Source organism: Homo sapiens, chromosome 18, assembly GCF_000001405.40.
Source record: "Homo sapiens chromosome 18, GRCh38.p14 Primary Assembly".
In the NCBI taxonomy this organism is placed as follows: domain Eukaryota; kingdom Metazoa; phylum Chordata; class Mammalia; order Primates; family Hominidae; genus Homo; species Homo sapiens.
In genome coordinates, this window is record NC_000018.10 from 32314751 (window position 1) to 32331625 (window position 16875).

Here is a 16875-nt window from a genome sequence, read left to right on the forward strand (position 1 = left end):
GCTAATTTTTGTATTTTTAGTAGAGGCAGGGTTTCACCATGTTGGTCAGGCTGGTCTCAAACTCCTGACCTCGTGATCCACCTGCCTCAGCCTCCCAAAGTGCTGGGATTACAGGTGTGAGCCACCGCGCCCTGCCAATTTTTTTGATTAAGAAATTATAGATTTGGAATATGAACACATTTCAAGCTATCATTAAGCCAGGTATACTTTCATGAAAACCTGCAAATGGTATCTTTTCAATAGTATTTAATAAGTTTAATTTATTGTAATTTTATGATGAGTATTTTAGAAAAATGTTCTCAAGATGCAGGGATTCATATGTATGCCAAACACTCATTGAGTAGTCTACAGATGCTCAATCTCTGAGGTAAGAGGTTACCTGAAAGCGTCATGCCTATAATAAATTTCATTCTGTCCCTTCAGAAATGTACTCACAGGCCAAGGATGCATCACTGCACCCTAATATATCAAACATTATACTATAGACTATCTAGCAGATATAGATACACTATAGTGCTATCTAGCAGAAATATAACAAGCCACATGTGCAATTACATATTTTCTAGTAGCCACATTTAAAGAGAAGAGGTAAAATTTAAATAACATATTTTATTTAAACCAATACATCTAAATTCAATTAAACATCACTAATGATGTATTATATAAATATATATAAAGTATATATAAAAAAATATATATAAAAGTATATATATAAATATATATAAAAGTAGATATATATAAAATATATAAAAAAGTAGATATATATAAAAATATATATAAAAGTAGATATATATATATATACTTTTGCATTAAGTCTTTCAAATCTGGTGTATGTTTTACACTTAGGGATCATCTCAGTTCAGACTAGCCACATTTCAAATGCTCAACAGCTCCATGTGGCTACTGGCTGTCATACTGGACAGTTGGTGCAGGTCTAGAATATCTCTGCATTCCCTTAAAACTGTGATTGCAGGTACTGTTCAAGTCGTTAAATAAAGATTACATGATACAATCCTCTTAGGGAAAAAGATGTATTTCCTGAAAAAGAAGAATGTTTCTTCTGATGAAATAAGAAGAGCTTTGTAATTCCTATTTTCCTTTTTGCCTTGTTTGCCATGATTGCTGATATTTTGGCCTAAATAACAGAGTCTTGGTTTCTTAATATAACCACCTTTATCCCCTTGTCTCCCAACTTGGGTTCTTGTTTTTTAATTATTTTTCTATTGCGTCTGTGATCTTGTACTATCAGTAGCCTCAAACATATTTTGGCATACAGAACAAATGAATAATCACTTTTGGTATGGTCATAGGGTCCATATTAAGCTGCATAGTCATCTGTGTTTTGTCATCCTATTGGACAGGAAGACTTCAGAATCACATATACATGGGAGCATGTATAAGAAATTCTACTGAGAATGATTAACACACACAGATAAGAGAACAAGGAAAAAAACTAACAGCTAAATATGGCCAAATGCTACAACTGTTAACATTTATGCACATAGTATATCAGATTAATAGATTCCTTTCATTCGTTCTTTCAATTGTTTAGTGAATACCCAATTGTCAGTTAATTTCTCTCTTCTCTTTTCCATAGTGTTTTCAGATCATCCTGGAAGATTTTAATTTACATATTTGTGTACACATATTATATTTTAAACTTTCTCTTGTGATGTTAAATTATTGAAAACCAAATACTACCTTACATTTCTTTATTTTTGAGACAAGGTCTGGCTCTATTGCCCAGGCTGGAGTGCAGTGGTACCTTCTTGGCTCACTGGCTCCCCAGACTCAAGCCATCCTCTTACCTCAGCCTCCCAAGTAGCTGGGACTACAGGTGCATGCCACCACACCCAGCTAATTGTTGTATTTTTTTGTAGAGATGAGGTTTTGCCATGTTGCTCAGGATAGTCTCAAACTTGTGAGCCTAAGCAATCTGCCCACCTCAGCCTCCCAAAGTGTGCTGGGATTACAGGTGTGAGCCACCGTATGCAGCCCTACTTTGCATTTCTTGCGCCCCACAAATGTCTTTAAAATAGAAATAGCTAAAACCTATAAAATATTTTCTTAATGTAATGTTTAAACACTAGGTCACAATACACATGCAACTTCCTATTGCAGGAGTTGGCAAACTTGTTCTGTAAATATTTTAGGTTTCATGAGCTAAACAGTCTCTATTCACATCTACTCAACTCTGGCCATGTAGGGCAACAAAATCAGCCATAGACAACACACAAGTGAATAAGAGCAGCTGTGCTCCAGAAAACTTTATTTACGAAAACAGGCCACAGTGTGCTGACTTCTGTCCTGCTGGAAGGAGTGGAAAGTATAGGTCAGGGCAGTGGCAAGACAAGACATTAGAAGTGAGAATGGGCCAGGCGCGGTGGCTCACGCCTGTAATCCCAGCACTTTGGCAGGCCGAAGTGGACAGATCACTGAAGGCCAGGAGTTTAAGACCAACCTGGCCAACATGGTGAAACCTCGTTTCTACTAAAAATACAAAAATCAGCCTAGAGTGGTGGCACATGCTTGTGATCCCAGCTACTTGGGAGGCTGAGGCAGAAGAATTGCTTGAACCCAGGAGGCATAGGTTGCAGTGAGCTGAGATTGCATCACTGCATTCCAGTGAGAGCGCTCTGTCACAAAAAAAAAAAAAAAAAAAGCAAAGCAAAGAAAAGAAAGTGACTCGTCCTTTTATTGCATACCACTGAACAGTCATACCAGAGTCTCTTGTAAGGTACCTGAAATCACATTCTAAGTTGCTCATGTTTGTCTTTGAATGGCAGTTTTGCCTTCAAACAGGAGTCTAATATCAACAAGTAAAAGCTGTAGAAGTGGACTTATATTAAAAGAATAATGTAAATAACCAGCAAACATGAAGGCCTACATTTTCTCACTGTGTTTTGCAAGATAAAATTTCTATGAACTTTTATTTCGCTGTTGCTTTTTTTTTTTTTTTTTAAAGAATGTAACATTCTCAGATTAGCCAACGTTAAGTACTCTGGGAAAAATGCTGAGTATTACTACCTCCTCTGTGATTGCTGTGTCCTGGAAATCGGAACTTGTTGGAGTCAAATCTTGGAGACAATCTAAAGAGTTAAGAGCCAGTTTCCTGCCAAAAGTGAAATCAATTTACATGACACATATTCCCACAATCCCCACATGGAGGAACTAATTTTTTAAGACCATTTCACGAATAACAGAGTCTTTGTGCCACCAAATAAAAACATTTGGAGATTGTTGAAACATCTGTTCTGAGATGTTACTGTCAAACTCTGTTCTTGAAAGGGAGGAAGCTGCATTGTCTTTCAGGAGCTTTGATGATTTCATAAAATGTCTCCATTGTAAGAGCTGTTCCATCTGCAGGCCCCTGAAAGTTCCAGGAACAAATTCAACACCAATGACATGCTCGCTGATTATGGTTTAAATAAATTTATGGTAATATTTAAAAAGCAAAGATGGAAGCTATATTTCATGATGTATTTCTAAAACTGTATTTCATAACTGACATTATGAAATAACCGTCATCTAGAAAATATCCATTTTGTGTGTGCCCCTCAAGATAGCCACAGTGAGTTATTTCAGAATGGATAACACATCAGCTAAGATGCTCCAAATCCTTCCTTCATCTAAGTTTCGATCATCTGTATGGGGCTGAAGGGACTAAACTTCACTCTCCTTTACTTACAGGGAAAGGTCACTTGTCAGAAATGAAAAGTGGAAACAAATTTTGCTAATTAAGAAGACAGCAACAATGCCGAGATATGAAGAAATAAAAGGCAGACTTAGAGGTGGTCAAATTCAGGTCTGTCCAGTTTGCTTCTGGTTGGGAAGTTAGGGTTAGTGCCACCGATGAAGATGCAGCTCCGCATGATGTGTGCCTCACTGTTCGCCATCACCAGTGGCAGTCAGCATGACCTGCGGTGGGCCCTCTTTTGCAGCTGTAGTTTTACTGTCTGCCATCCCTTCAGCATGGCAGTCTACTTTGTGTATCAAATAAAAAGAAATGGAATGACAGCTGAGGCCCACAGTGTCCATCTGTGGACCCACAACTCAAGTGAGCAACATTCTGTTGTCATCTCCTCCATGACTGGGAGCAGAAAAATGTTGCTGAAACCAGCCCAAAATGTTAAAGTAGAAAAGAAAGCAAGAGCAACAGAAATGGGACCAGAACACCAAAGAAACCTAAAAATGGCTAATGTGAGGAAAAAGATTAAGGAAAAGGAAGCCTAGAATGTTGAAAATGCCATGAAGGGGAGGGTCCAGGTCTGTGATTCAGTGTGGTACCTCCAGCATCATACCACACATGGCATAAAGCAGGTGCTTACTAAATAGTGAATGAATGAACTTTTCTTCTCTTACCTTTTTCAGAGACAGGCCACAGACAAACTTAGATGGTTCCAAGTCAACTGTACAAATGAAATGCATTAAAAATGGCTCAAATAACTGGCCCTTCAAACCACTGGCCCATATCCAAATGTGAAGAGATCAGCAATTCTCAAGTGACAGAAACAAGTAGCCAGTTGCCATTTTTCAATAAGTAAATAAACCTGGGTAGGAATGTGGACTTACAAAACAATACCAAAGTTCAAACACACTCTTGTATTTTAATCTTATGTATGCATGTAAGCTAGAGTTTCTGTGGGATGAAAATGTAAAAGTAGGATTGCCCCATAAAAGATATGCAGCACTTCATTTTGTATGGCACCAACCAATATATATTGCCTTTTTAACCTTTGTATAAATGTTCACCTCCACTAAGTGTATGAAACCTCATTTAACTAAATCCTTCATCAACAGTGAATGCTACCTCACTTGTTTCCCTGAGTAAGGTGGAAGACTTTTAAAGACTGCCTAACGTATGTACATGCCAAAAAATCCAAATAGTACTACTAGAGGGTGTAGGGTGAAAAAGTAAGTCTCCCTCCCAATCTTACCCTCAGATCTTCTTGCTGAAGCAGCTGCTATATAGTCTCTTGTACATCTGTCCAGAGGCAGTATCTGATATAGTATACACACATAATGCTACGCTTTTCAAAACAAATGGTTGCATTCTGTACAGTTATTCCATCACTGCATAAAAATCTGTCTCATTCTTTAAAAGAACTGCACATTATTTCATCCCATGCATATACCATAACTAATTTAACCAGTCTGCTATTGATAGACACCCACATTTATTCCAATCTTTTGCAGCCCCAGTGATGTTGAAGTTAAATATGCTTGTCCTGAAGGCTTTGAGTACTTAGTCCAAGTACATTGGTGGGAAAATGCCTAAATGAGGAATTGCTGAGCCAAAGGGTAAATGCATTTTTATTCTTGATACATATTGTCAAACTAAGAGGTCTGTGTCCACTTACATTCTTACAACGATGCGTTTCCTCATGCTTTTCCTAATAGTTCATTACCAAACTGAAAAATTATCATTGCCAGTCCAACAGGTGAAAAATAGCATTCCATTGGGATTGTAATTGTGTTCTTCTTATTATAAAGGACATAATTATTTTTATAAGTAATCTATGTTTCATATTATGTGGCTTTTCTGTTCATTTTCTTATTCCCAATCTTTGAAATTTCTGCTGATCTTAATCATAGTCTTAATGATAAAAACAAAAACTTGAAATTCTACAACATGGCATTCCCTATTTTAAAATCTGATTCCCTACATTACTTGAAGTTAGTTCCTAAAATTACTATTTTTTCATGGCGGAGGAAGTGGAAGTGGAGTTGGGGGAAAGGAGGGGTAAGGAACAAGTCTCAATACAAAGTCTCAAAACATACAACCACAGAGAATTGGAATTAAAACCAAAGAAAAGAAGGCATCAATCAAAAATAATGAACTGCACCATAGATAATCTGTGGTTATTTCTATTTATTTCTCCATCTGAGATTTTATAAAGCAAGTGGTCAGACCATTACTTCCAATTCTGAAACTCCATTCTTGAACTTAACTAGGCCCAGAATTCAAAACTCAACCATTCTGGGATCTATGTTCTAAGCAGCCAAACCATTTCACACCATGCAAACTGGTTTCCCTGTTTTTTGAAAATGGGAAGACTGCATTTTTCATTGTATCTCACTGGTTAATTGCTTCTTCAGAATTACCAGAAGTTTTCTGGGACAAATTTATCATAAACATGATGGAACCTAGAAAGGTCTTAGATTGAACATGGTTGCTAATACATTATGAAATCTCGGCACTTCTTTCCTTGAAATCTCTTAGTCCAGAGCACTCACTGCTACTATTCTGGTTTTGATTCTCATCACTTTGTAATGGTATTACTGCTTCAGATTTTAAGCCCGTTTCCATCTCTGCCCTTCCATTATCACATTATTCACCTTAAAATACAACCTAAAACAAATCCATCTCACTCAAGAACCTAAGTGTTCCATAAACACTTGTAGAATAAATGAATAAATAAACATATAATAGCTCTTTAATCTCTAACCACCAAGCCCAGACTCCTCTGCCTCGGCTTTTATTTAAGTCCCTCCATGATCTGCTCCACTTAGCTTATGCAAACATTTCCCCACCATCTGTGCAACCAGTACTCACTCTTTCTCCTTTGCCTTTGCTCATGCTCTTTTCTCAGTCTGTGCAAAAATATCGACCCTTTTAATGACATTCTGAGTTCTGTGCATGGCCGTCTTCCTCTCATTCCGCTTCTTTCCTCACTCTCTTAGCCCTCCTGGGGGAACTCCTCTATCATCCTGGCTCCAAGGACCACCTATGTAAGTTGACAATACATCAACCTTTCTCTCTAGCAGGATCTCTCCTAAATTCCACATCAGCCTATCCAATGGCTTCTCCAATGGCTCTCCCACAAAAATCTCAATATCAAAATATGCAAAACTAAAATCATCTTTTTACTTCCTGAATCAAGCGACCATAAAAGTCAGAAAGGATGGTCATCCTTGACACTTTCTTTTCCCTAATCTCTCACATTCAATTACTGTCAACTTCAACTCCATTCTTTTTCTTACATTGATCAAATCCTTTCTGTCTCCACTGCTACCACATATTCCCAACCACAGCATCTCTCACTTTGGCCAGTTTTCCTAGTTGATTGTCTTGCCTCTAGATTTCCACCCCAGGAAACCATCCCTACACCATTGCTTAAAATTCAAATCTAACCATATTTCAATTTAGGATAATGTGCACATGATTTAAGTACAATGGAACTATTGGTCATGAAGTGGGTAGGCTATAGGGGAACCACAGTGATAACCTGGGGATAGTATCAGAGATGTCACCACCACTGGCCTCAAGGGACAAGAGAGGGACTAGCTATGGAAACAAAGATTTCTATAATTACCCTGGCTTTGAGAAAAGGAGAAGCAGCTGGCTCTAGTGATTTTTTTAAGGGAGGAAGCCAACAGAGAAAAAAGACCTTGACCTCGCTCTGTTCCTGCCCATCTCTGGCTGAGGCTATTTAGCCACTGGCTGAAACTAAAAGGCATGACAGTCTGCTGATTTAACCCTACAGGTTAGCTTCTGGGGTGGAGCAGGGTAGAGGTGGTACAGAATAGATTTGCAGGAGGGGTGGCACATAGGAGATGTGTATACAGGCCTCCAAGATCTGGCTCTCACTTTCTTCTCATCACGCTAAAATCCATCTAGATCCATCCACAGCGGACTATAGAATGCACCATCTGGAATACCTTTCCTCTATTCCCAGATTTCACCAATCTATTTATTTTCCAAAATCAATTCACTTATTACCTAAACTATAAAGATTGGGGTCAGTTACAACACCTGAAAGAATCTTATCTTTTGAATGACTGCATTATCTACAGATTTTTATCAAAGCATGTATAGTATTTTATTGTCCTTATTTGTTTTCTTGTCTTCGTGAACTAACCAGTAAACTTTCTAAAGAAAGCAGATGTGTCAATCACCTTTTTATTCCCAGTACTCAATACTGGGCAAGACACACAGAAGGTGCCTAATAAATGATGGCTGAATGAAGGAACTTAAGAGCCAGCTCAAGTCCAACATAATCTGTGAAGTGTTCCTTGACAACTTCAGCTCAAACGATTTTCATTTATGTTGATTACCAGAGTCTATTCACCGATTCTCTACTTATTTTACTTCCTTTTGTGCTGTTTTCTTAATTAGACCGCAGTGCCGTAACAGCTGGAATCATGTCTTCTGCTTCTCTGATAGCTGAGTTTGAGTCCAAACTAGAAACTGAATAAATGCTTTCTTTGAAGAGTAGGTGTTTAGAGCAGGAGAAATATATATTTTTGGGAGTCTCAAACTCAAATACTTATGAGACCACAAAGTCTTGCAAATTGGTAACATTGATAAAAGTAGAAATGATGACCTCATAGCTCCAGCACCTGCTGGTTCCCAGAGGCAGGAAATTTTTATGTAAATGTGTTCAACTTTTAATGGTTTTTAATAGTTGGCTCAAATAAAAAATGTCACCCAGCCCCAAAACTGCTCTGCATTTCTTAAAGAGAGTCGGGCATAGGTGTGGATTGAGCAAGGGCTTACAACATCACTGATCTAGCTGATGCTGTTGTATTTGTGAATGGGTTAATGTTGGTCAAGAAATGTGTGGGAAGTCTAGGGTCCAGGAACTCTTCATTCTACCTTCATTTGAAGCCACGGTCCTGAAGTGGAAGGCTACTCTTTACAGCTTTTAGCATAAGCATTATGAGAAAGCTCATTTAAGACCTATACTATTGGCTGGGCACAGTGGCTCACACCTGTAATCCCAGCACTTTGGGAGGCCAAGGTGGGCAGATCACTTGAGGCCAGGAGTTCGAGACCAGCCTGGCCAACATGGTGTGCTTAGCCAACTTAGCCAAGTGTAGTGGTGTGCACCTGTAATCCCAGATACTTGAGAGGCTGATACAGTAGAATCCCTTGAGCCCAAGAGGCAGAGGTTGCAGTGGGCCAAAATTGCGCCACTGCACTCCAGCCTGGGCGACAGAGTAAGACCCTATCTCAAATAAACAAATAAATAATCAATCAAGGTTCCAATATGTAAAAAGCAATTTTACTTGAGGAAGAACCTTTTGGAGAAATATAAAATGATTCATTTTTTAATCTACATAAAAAATTAAGAGCAGCAAAAATTAAACTTTAATTTTTACTCACAGAATTTTCAGTTATTTAGTATGAAAAGAGAAGGGGAAAACAAAGGTGAATAGAAAATATAAAGGAAAGAGAAAAATGGGGAGAGAGGGAGATAGGGAAATAGATACAAAAAGAAAATGAGACATAGAAATCGACCTATGAAAATGACAGTTACACAAATAAACATGATTTCAACCCAGACAAAGGAAAGGAAGACCACGCCAACACAGATGGACAAAAGATTGACATATGCAACACAAACAGACCCTAAAGCTACGCTGCCACCGTACAACTACAGGCAAAAGTGAAGGCAAGCTGTGTAGAATCAAAGCTGAGGTGTCTAGGAATTTTCAGTACTATGGTGCTTATGCTTCTCTTCTACGCCTTATGGAAGTATTTAGAAAGGAAAAAGAAAGCCAAACTGCGTACACAGAGTGTGAGGAGGGTGAAGAAAACACTCAAGGATTTTAACATTCCACCATTATTTCTCAATTGAAACATGACCCTGTTCTTGGCTTATTTGCTCCCTTTTCCACAGCCTAACAGTAAACTCCCACACACCAGTGGGACCACAGAGGAGAGACAATAATACAAGCAGCTGCTTGAGCTGTGGTTTTCATTAGGAAAAAAAGTGCCTTGATTATGAGAGATTTAGTTTTTAACCTGTGTGCCAAAACCGAAGTGATTAAAACTCCATGTACAGAAACACGAATGGTTTCTTAAAAGTGGAGTATAGAGCACACACAGTATTATCAAAAGAGGATAGGAGGACAGTCCAAATTCTAACACCCACGCCAGCTTGCGCATTGACTTGGATATGGGAAAGTTAGCAAAGACACAAAGTAAAATAAAAACATACTCTATAGGTTCTGCATTGCATTTTGTCAAGGTTAGAGACACATTTTCACCAAAAATTTAAGCTACAAACGGCAAGGCAATCAAGCCATGAAAAGACATGGGGGAAACTTAAATGCCTATTACTAAGTGAAAGATGCCAATCTGAAAAAAATTATACCATGTATGACATTTCTGGAAAAGGCAAAACTATGGAAACAGTAAAATGATCAGTGGTTACCAAGGGTTAGGGAGGAGGAATGGATGAATAGGTGGAACACAGAAGTTTTTTATTTTTTAGACAGAGTCTTGCTGTGTAGCCCAGGCTGGAGTGCAGTGGTGCGATCTTGGCTCACTGCAACCTCCACCTCCTGGGTCCTGGTTCAAGCAATTCTCCTGCCTCAGCCTCCGGAGTAGCTGGGATTACAGCCATGCGCCACCATGCCCAGCTAATTTTTGTATTTTTAGTAGAGACAGGGTTTCACCATATTGGCCAGGTTGGTCTTGAACTCCTGACCTCGTGATCCACCTGCCTCGGCCTCCCAAAGTGCTGGGATTACAGGTGTGGCACAGAGGTTTTTTAGGGCAGTGAAAATATTCTGTATGTTACCTTAATGGTAGATGCACGTCATTATATGTTTCTCCAAACTCACAGAATGTACAACAGCAAGAGTGAACCCTAATGTAAACTGTGGACTTTGGGTTATTATGACATGTCAGTGCAGGTTCATCGATTGTCACAAATATACCACTCTGGTGCAGGATGTTAATGGTGGAGGCTCTGCGTGTGGTGGGGAAAGGAGTACATGGGAAATCTCTGTACTTTCCTCTCAATTGTGCCGTGAATCTAAAACTGCTCTAAAAAATTAAGCCTTTAAAAAACAGAAAAAAGGAAGGCAACTCCTTAAAGTCCCCCATTTGATTCAAGACTGAGGTAGGACAGTCTCAGTAAGGCACGTTTTGTTCTCATGGCTCAGCACAGGACTGTTAATTTTGGATTCAACATAATACTCACTGATGATCGTTTTGCTCCCAAATCTTTGCACAACAGGTAGTGTATTAACTTCCAGAGTTTGAATCCTGGCTTTCCCTCGTATCATGCAACTTTGGTTGCATCATATCCTTCTACATCTCCATTTGCTTTCCAGTTCTATAATCCAGGACAGTAATACTGACACTGGACTTACGAGGATGACTAAACATATATGAAGGGCTTAACACAGTAAGTGGCACATGACAAGGACTCAATGAGCATGTATGTCAGAGAGAAGTTTAAGTTTAGGATGAAGATACACTTGTCATGAATGAAAAGGAATGTAATCATGCTATTATTCTGATTTACTTACTGAATAGGAGAAACGTATTAGCTCCTTCTTACAGTAACCCTGGAAAAACTGCTCCAGAATATGAGACATCAAAAAGTATTCTAAATTTGACATACATAAAAAGATGGCACAATCAGTAGTTTGGTAGATAGGAAGAAGAGAGGAAAGAGCTATGCAGAAGGTATTCAGGGTGGCTCACTGCCACCGGGTTGGAGACTTCGGTTATGGGAAAGATAGAGACTGGGAAATAACAAGTGTGATCTTTTCCATGACAAGCTACCTACTAAACTCTCTGCTCAATCCAAGAGCAAATGCAATTAAAATGGCTCATGCTTAAAATATAATTCCTGTAATAAATTTGTGACCATAATGACAGTGGCCTAGAGTCCTATGCTTGTTAGGAATCAGTCAAAACTGCAGTAAAAATGGAAAGGCTAGTAAAACGCAAAGGCCCTACATTGTAGAGAGCCCCCCACTCTTGCTAAGTCTTTTTCTTTTAATTAAAAAATGGAGAAGAGAAGCAAATAGCCATGTTGCTGCTCTGCTGACCTGCAGCTCCATTTTTGCTAAAGTGCTTAATGAATGAGTATGCTTTCAAACAGGCAATACATACCTTTGTCCTACTCCCAAACCAGCAAATGGTTTTTCCCTTCCACCCCCTCACAAGAGACCGACACTGTCTTCTTTTGTTTTCTTTAGTCTTTGCTGACAAAATGCCCCTGCTCTTGCTCCCATCTCCCAATACTTCATTTTCATCCAAATGCCTCCGCTTTTATTCAGTACAGATCCAGCTTATTGAGCATTCTCTAGTGCCTTTCAGGTTTTGACCCTCTTCCATGTTAAACAGGCTGCGGTGCAAGGGTAGGATGGTTGCTCAGTAAAATATTCCATCCAACAGGGGCAGTTATGTAAACAGGGCTGCTTTCTGGCAGGAATGTCTGATGGGATAAACAAGGCTGGAGAGAAAAAGTACTTTTAGAGAGGAGTGACTTTGTCAGGGAACAGAGATACATTCCAAATTAAAAAACACTCTTCTTTCTAATGTAAGACCAGGCTTTTTAAAAACAGGAATCACTGGGAGAAATGTAAAAAGAACTGTAATAACTGAGTCAGCAATTATGATTTCTGATATTGTACAAAGGGGATCAACTTTTTCATTTTGTGGCTGTAAATTTTTATTTCTTGAAAAAGAAAAAACAAAAACATCTTAAGTGCCAGAGATATTGGAAGGCTACTTTCAGAATTTATTAATATTTAAGAACCTATACAGATGCTGAATGGGAATTATGGCTAATATTTTATAACAAATAAGAAACATAGTCATCAGATAATTAGTAGATGGATTCACTAATGTACTCATGTTGATGTTTACTGTTGAAAGAGAGACAGCATTATCTTCATTAATATCTAGTACATGGGACAAGTGATGAAGTATTTAGCCTTGCAAACAAAAGACTATACACAGAAAATTCATTATACTAAGGTGATAATAGCTCATGATGAAGAAAGCGGGGATGATGAAAGCAAATAGAGATTGCAATACCTAAAACCAGCAAATATGCATAACAAGAAAAGAATGACTAGAAAGTGAAGGATTAGGATTATGTTTACAATTTTATTGTAAAACCTAGAGTGTGACTGGATATTAAATACATGAAGTTGGGTTCTTGGCATGAAATGCACAACGTGGTGTTCAAATATTTTTAAAAACAACCTCATTTAGTGAGACATCACTTAGTGAGACTAATATGAGGCAATGTGAGTAGTGGACAAGAGCCCAGCTTTGGAGTGGACAGACAAGTTTGAATCTCAGCTTTGGCCTTGACCTTGAGAGGAGGACATTTCGGGGCTTCAGTTTCCTCACATATAAAATGGGGATGTTGATACCTACTTCATGGGACTGTTACAGGGATTAAATGAGGCCATATAGGTACAATGCTCAACAAAGGGCAAGATGCCTCTGATTCACAGTAATATGATTAATAATATGAATATTATTTTTTATTATCAAGATTCCATAAGAGAATTAAATATACAGGCCAAATTAATTTTTCCTCCCCATTTAAACTATTAGTCAAAATATTAAAATTTCAAAGATATTTATTTATCAATGTATTACTCTGTTCAAAGCAGTGTATGAAGTGCTAAGGATATTTCAAAGCACTCAGAAATACACTTCGAAATCTCTGTGTTTCCTTGTCTTTCATTTACATACAGATTTGAATTTTTTCCAATGTCTATTCAATTTTTAAGATGAGTGATTTAGGATGGCATATTTATTTTGAATATCCCACAAATAATTATTAAATACAAAATGATTAGAGAGTTGATAAACTCAATTACTGCAGGAGATAGTGGGATAGGACCTAAATTTATGCTGGCTGGTGTGGTTGATAATCTGTAGATAGAACAGAGTAAATAAGTAATAGCTTCTTTCAGCAGTTACACTGTATTTCACCTAAAGTCTAGCTGAAACTTTCCAAGGCCAGGATAAGAGCATTCTGACATTATTTTCATGAGTGCTATTCCTGCTAGTCATCAGGAGGCAGCTTCTTCCTCTAGCCTTCTGAGTCATTTTAATCTAAGCATTTTGTGGAATAAATGACGTTAGAGAGGGTTAGGTAAATGCAAAACATTTTTATATAATATGATAAAGATATCACCACAAGCCAACTGGAAAAGATCACTTAGTCTCTGGTGCTGGTAAAACTGGCTCATTATATGGAGAAAAACAAAAATGAATTCCTACCTGATACCACTTAGGGGCAGGGAAGGACTTCAGAAGCAGAAAGTATAAGCAAAACATTGATTACTTTAAGATTAAGGATTTTCTGTTCAATTAAGGATACTATGGGAAAAGTTGACAGGTGACAGAATAGAAGATATTTGCAAAGCCTAAAACGGAAAAGAGACTGATGATAAAATTATTCAGTGAAATCCTGAAAATTAAGAAAGACACCACCACCAATACAATGACGGGCAAAGAACATGATGAACAGGCAATTTACTAAGGAGGTATCCCTGAAGACTAGCAAGCATGTGAAAAGAAGCTCAACCAGCCAAATAAATGCAAATTAAAAGCTATTACTTCTGCCCGGCATGGTGGCTCACATCTGTAATCCCAACACTTTGGGAGGCCTAGGTGGGAGGACCACTTGAGGCCAGGAATGCTAGACCAGCTTGGGCAACACAGTGAGACCCCACCTCAACAGCAACAACATCAACCAAATCAGTCAAGTGTAGTGGCAAGTGTCTATAGTCCTACCTACTGAGGAGGCTAAGGTGGGAAGGTCACTCGAGCCCAGGAGTTTGAGGCTGCAGTGAGCTATGATTGTGCCACTGCACTGTAGCTTGGGCAACGGAGCAAGAACCTGTCTTGGAGAAAAAAAAAAAAGGTATTGCTTCACACCTATTAAGATTGAAAAACTGGCTGGGTGTAGTCGCTCACGCCTACAATCCCAGCACTTTGGGAGGCTGAGGCAGGTGGATCACAAGGTCAGGAGTTCAAGACCAGCCTGGCCAATATGGTGACACCCTGTCTCTACCAAAAATACAAAAATTAGCCAGGTGTGGTGGCGCATGCCTGTAGTCCCAGCTACTCGGGAGGCTGAGGCAGAAGAATCACTTGAACCCAGGAGGCGGAGGTTACAGTGAGCCGAGATTGCGCCACTGCACTCCAGCCTGGGTGACAGAGCGAGACTCCATTAAAAAAAAAAAAAAAAAAAAAAGATTGAAAAGCTAAAAAAAAATAAGTTCCTGATGTAGGTAAGAAATTTCATTGGACTATGGTGGGAGTGGGGCTGGGGCAGCCATTGTGGAGAGTGATCGGGCACCATTTAGTCAAATTAACTCTTCATATTACTAACACCCAGCAATTCTACCCCTGTGTATAAGTTCCAAAGAAATTTCACACAAGAGTGTCGGGGGAATGCATGAGGACATTTGTGGCAGCATCATTTTTGCTGCTCACCCTTTGGAGATCATATAAACACACAACAACAAAAATAGATTTTTGACAAAAAGAAAATAAATTGTTCTACCAAAAAGATGCCTGCACTCATATGTTCATCACAGCACTACTCACAATAGCAAAGATATGGAATCAACATAAGGGCCCATCGATGATGGACTGTATAAAGAAAATGTGGTACATATATACCACAGAATACTACACAGCCATAAACGAGAACAAATCATGTCTTTTGCAGCAACAAGGATACAGCAAGAGGCTATTATCCTAAGTGAATTAATGCAGGTACAGAAAACCAAATGCTGTATGTTCTCACTTACAAGTGGGAGCTAAACATTGGATACTCATGGACATCAAGATGGCAGCAATCGACACTGGGGACTACTAGTTGTGGGGGGAGGGAAGGAGGCAAGGGTTGAAAAACTATTGGGTACTAGGCTCACTTACATGGGTGACAGGATCATTTGTATCACAAACGTCAGCATCATGCAATGTACTCATATAACAAACCTGCACATGTATCCCCTGAATCTAAAATAAAAATTGAAATGATTAAAAAAAGAATAGATTTGGAAACAAGGGTGTATCTTTAAATAATGCTAAATGAAAAACATGAGACTTAAAACACAATACAGTTTATGTAAATTTAAAGTATTTGTATACAAACCACTGCACTTTTAGAAAAACAGAGCCAAAGAAAAAAGGCACAATAAATACATTTAAATGGGAGGGTGGGAGGGGAATGTACTATCAGGATGAAATGGGATGAAACAAAATCTTCCCCACGCTTTTATTTCTGGGGAGAAAAGTTAAGATTAGTATTTTAAACATTTATTTAATATATCAGGAAGGAAACAGAAGGTGAGAAAAGGGAAGGAGGAAAGAAGGGAACATTTTGAGGGTCTTACAGCCAAGCACTGCATTTGATAAAAAAATTAAAACATTCTTTCTTGAAATGACTGCCTTTCCAGCACTCTTTACAGTTCCATATAGGCTGCTACACAGACATGCTCTGACATAAGTACATCCTAACCTCACAACCAAACCAAGCGCTGTAGTTCACAAAAAGTCTGTTCCTCCTTCTCTCTGATCATTTCTAGAAAACTGACATCATAGATAATTATAGGTTTTTTTCCCTCTTTAATTCTATTATATTCTATTATTATTCCTTTGGTGGGTAGCAACAGTTTAAAATTTCAAAAACATTTCTCCCTCATACTTAAAAACCCGACAAAAAATGGGTTTGGAGTTATACCCTTTCTTAAACTGTACTCCCTACTAATGGGAACCTCACAACTGGTGTCAGAGGCTGTGAAGAGTTTAACATTTCTCTACATATACTATGAATTCCTAAGCAGATCAAGATGAAATTATTAGCCATATGGAAGGAGGTAAAAACTACTAAAATAGCTTTCAGCGATTTATCCAAATGTATATTAAACTGTTAAATGTTAACACTATGTAAAAACACATATGTGGGCAAAATAGTGGACTTACTATCTCAGTGTGGAAGCAAAATATTAATCCTGTATATGACATAAGAAAATAAGGCAACACATAGTACAGTTCTACAGCAGTCACATACACTAGTAGTTTTCAAGCACTAGTATACCTCAAAATCACCCAGAAGACCGTGAAAACAGATTGCTGGGCCTCAC

General features: G+C 38.4%; 1 protein-coding gene across 6 annotated transcripts in view; it reads right to left on the reverse strand.

The window, feature by feature from the left end:
* GAREM1 (GRB2 associated regulator of MAPK1 subtype 1) overlaps positions 1–16875 on the reverse strand; it is a 207361-nt gene that overhangs the window by 51229 nt on the left and 139257 nt on the right. The gene's annotated exons all lie outside the window — the stretch shown is intronic.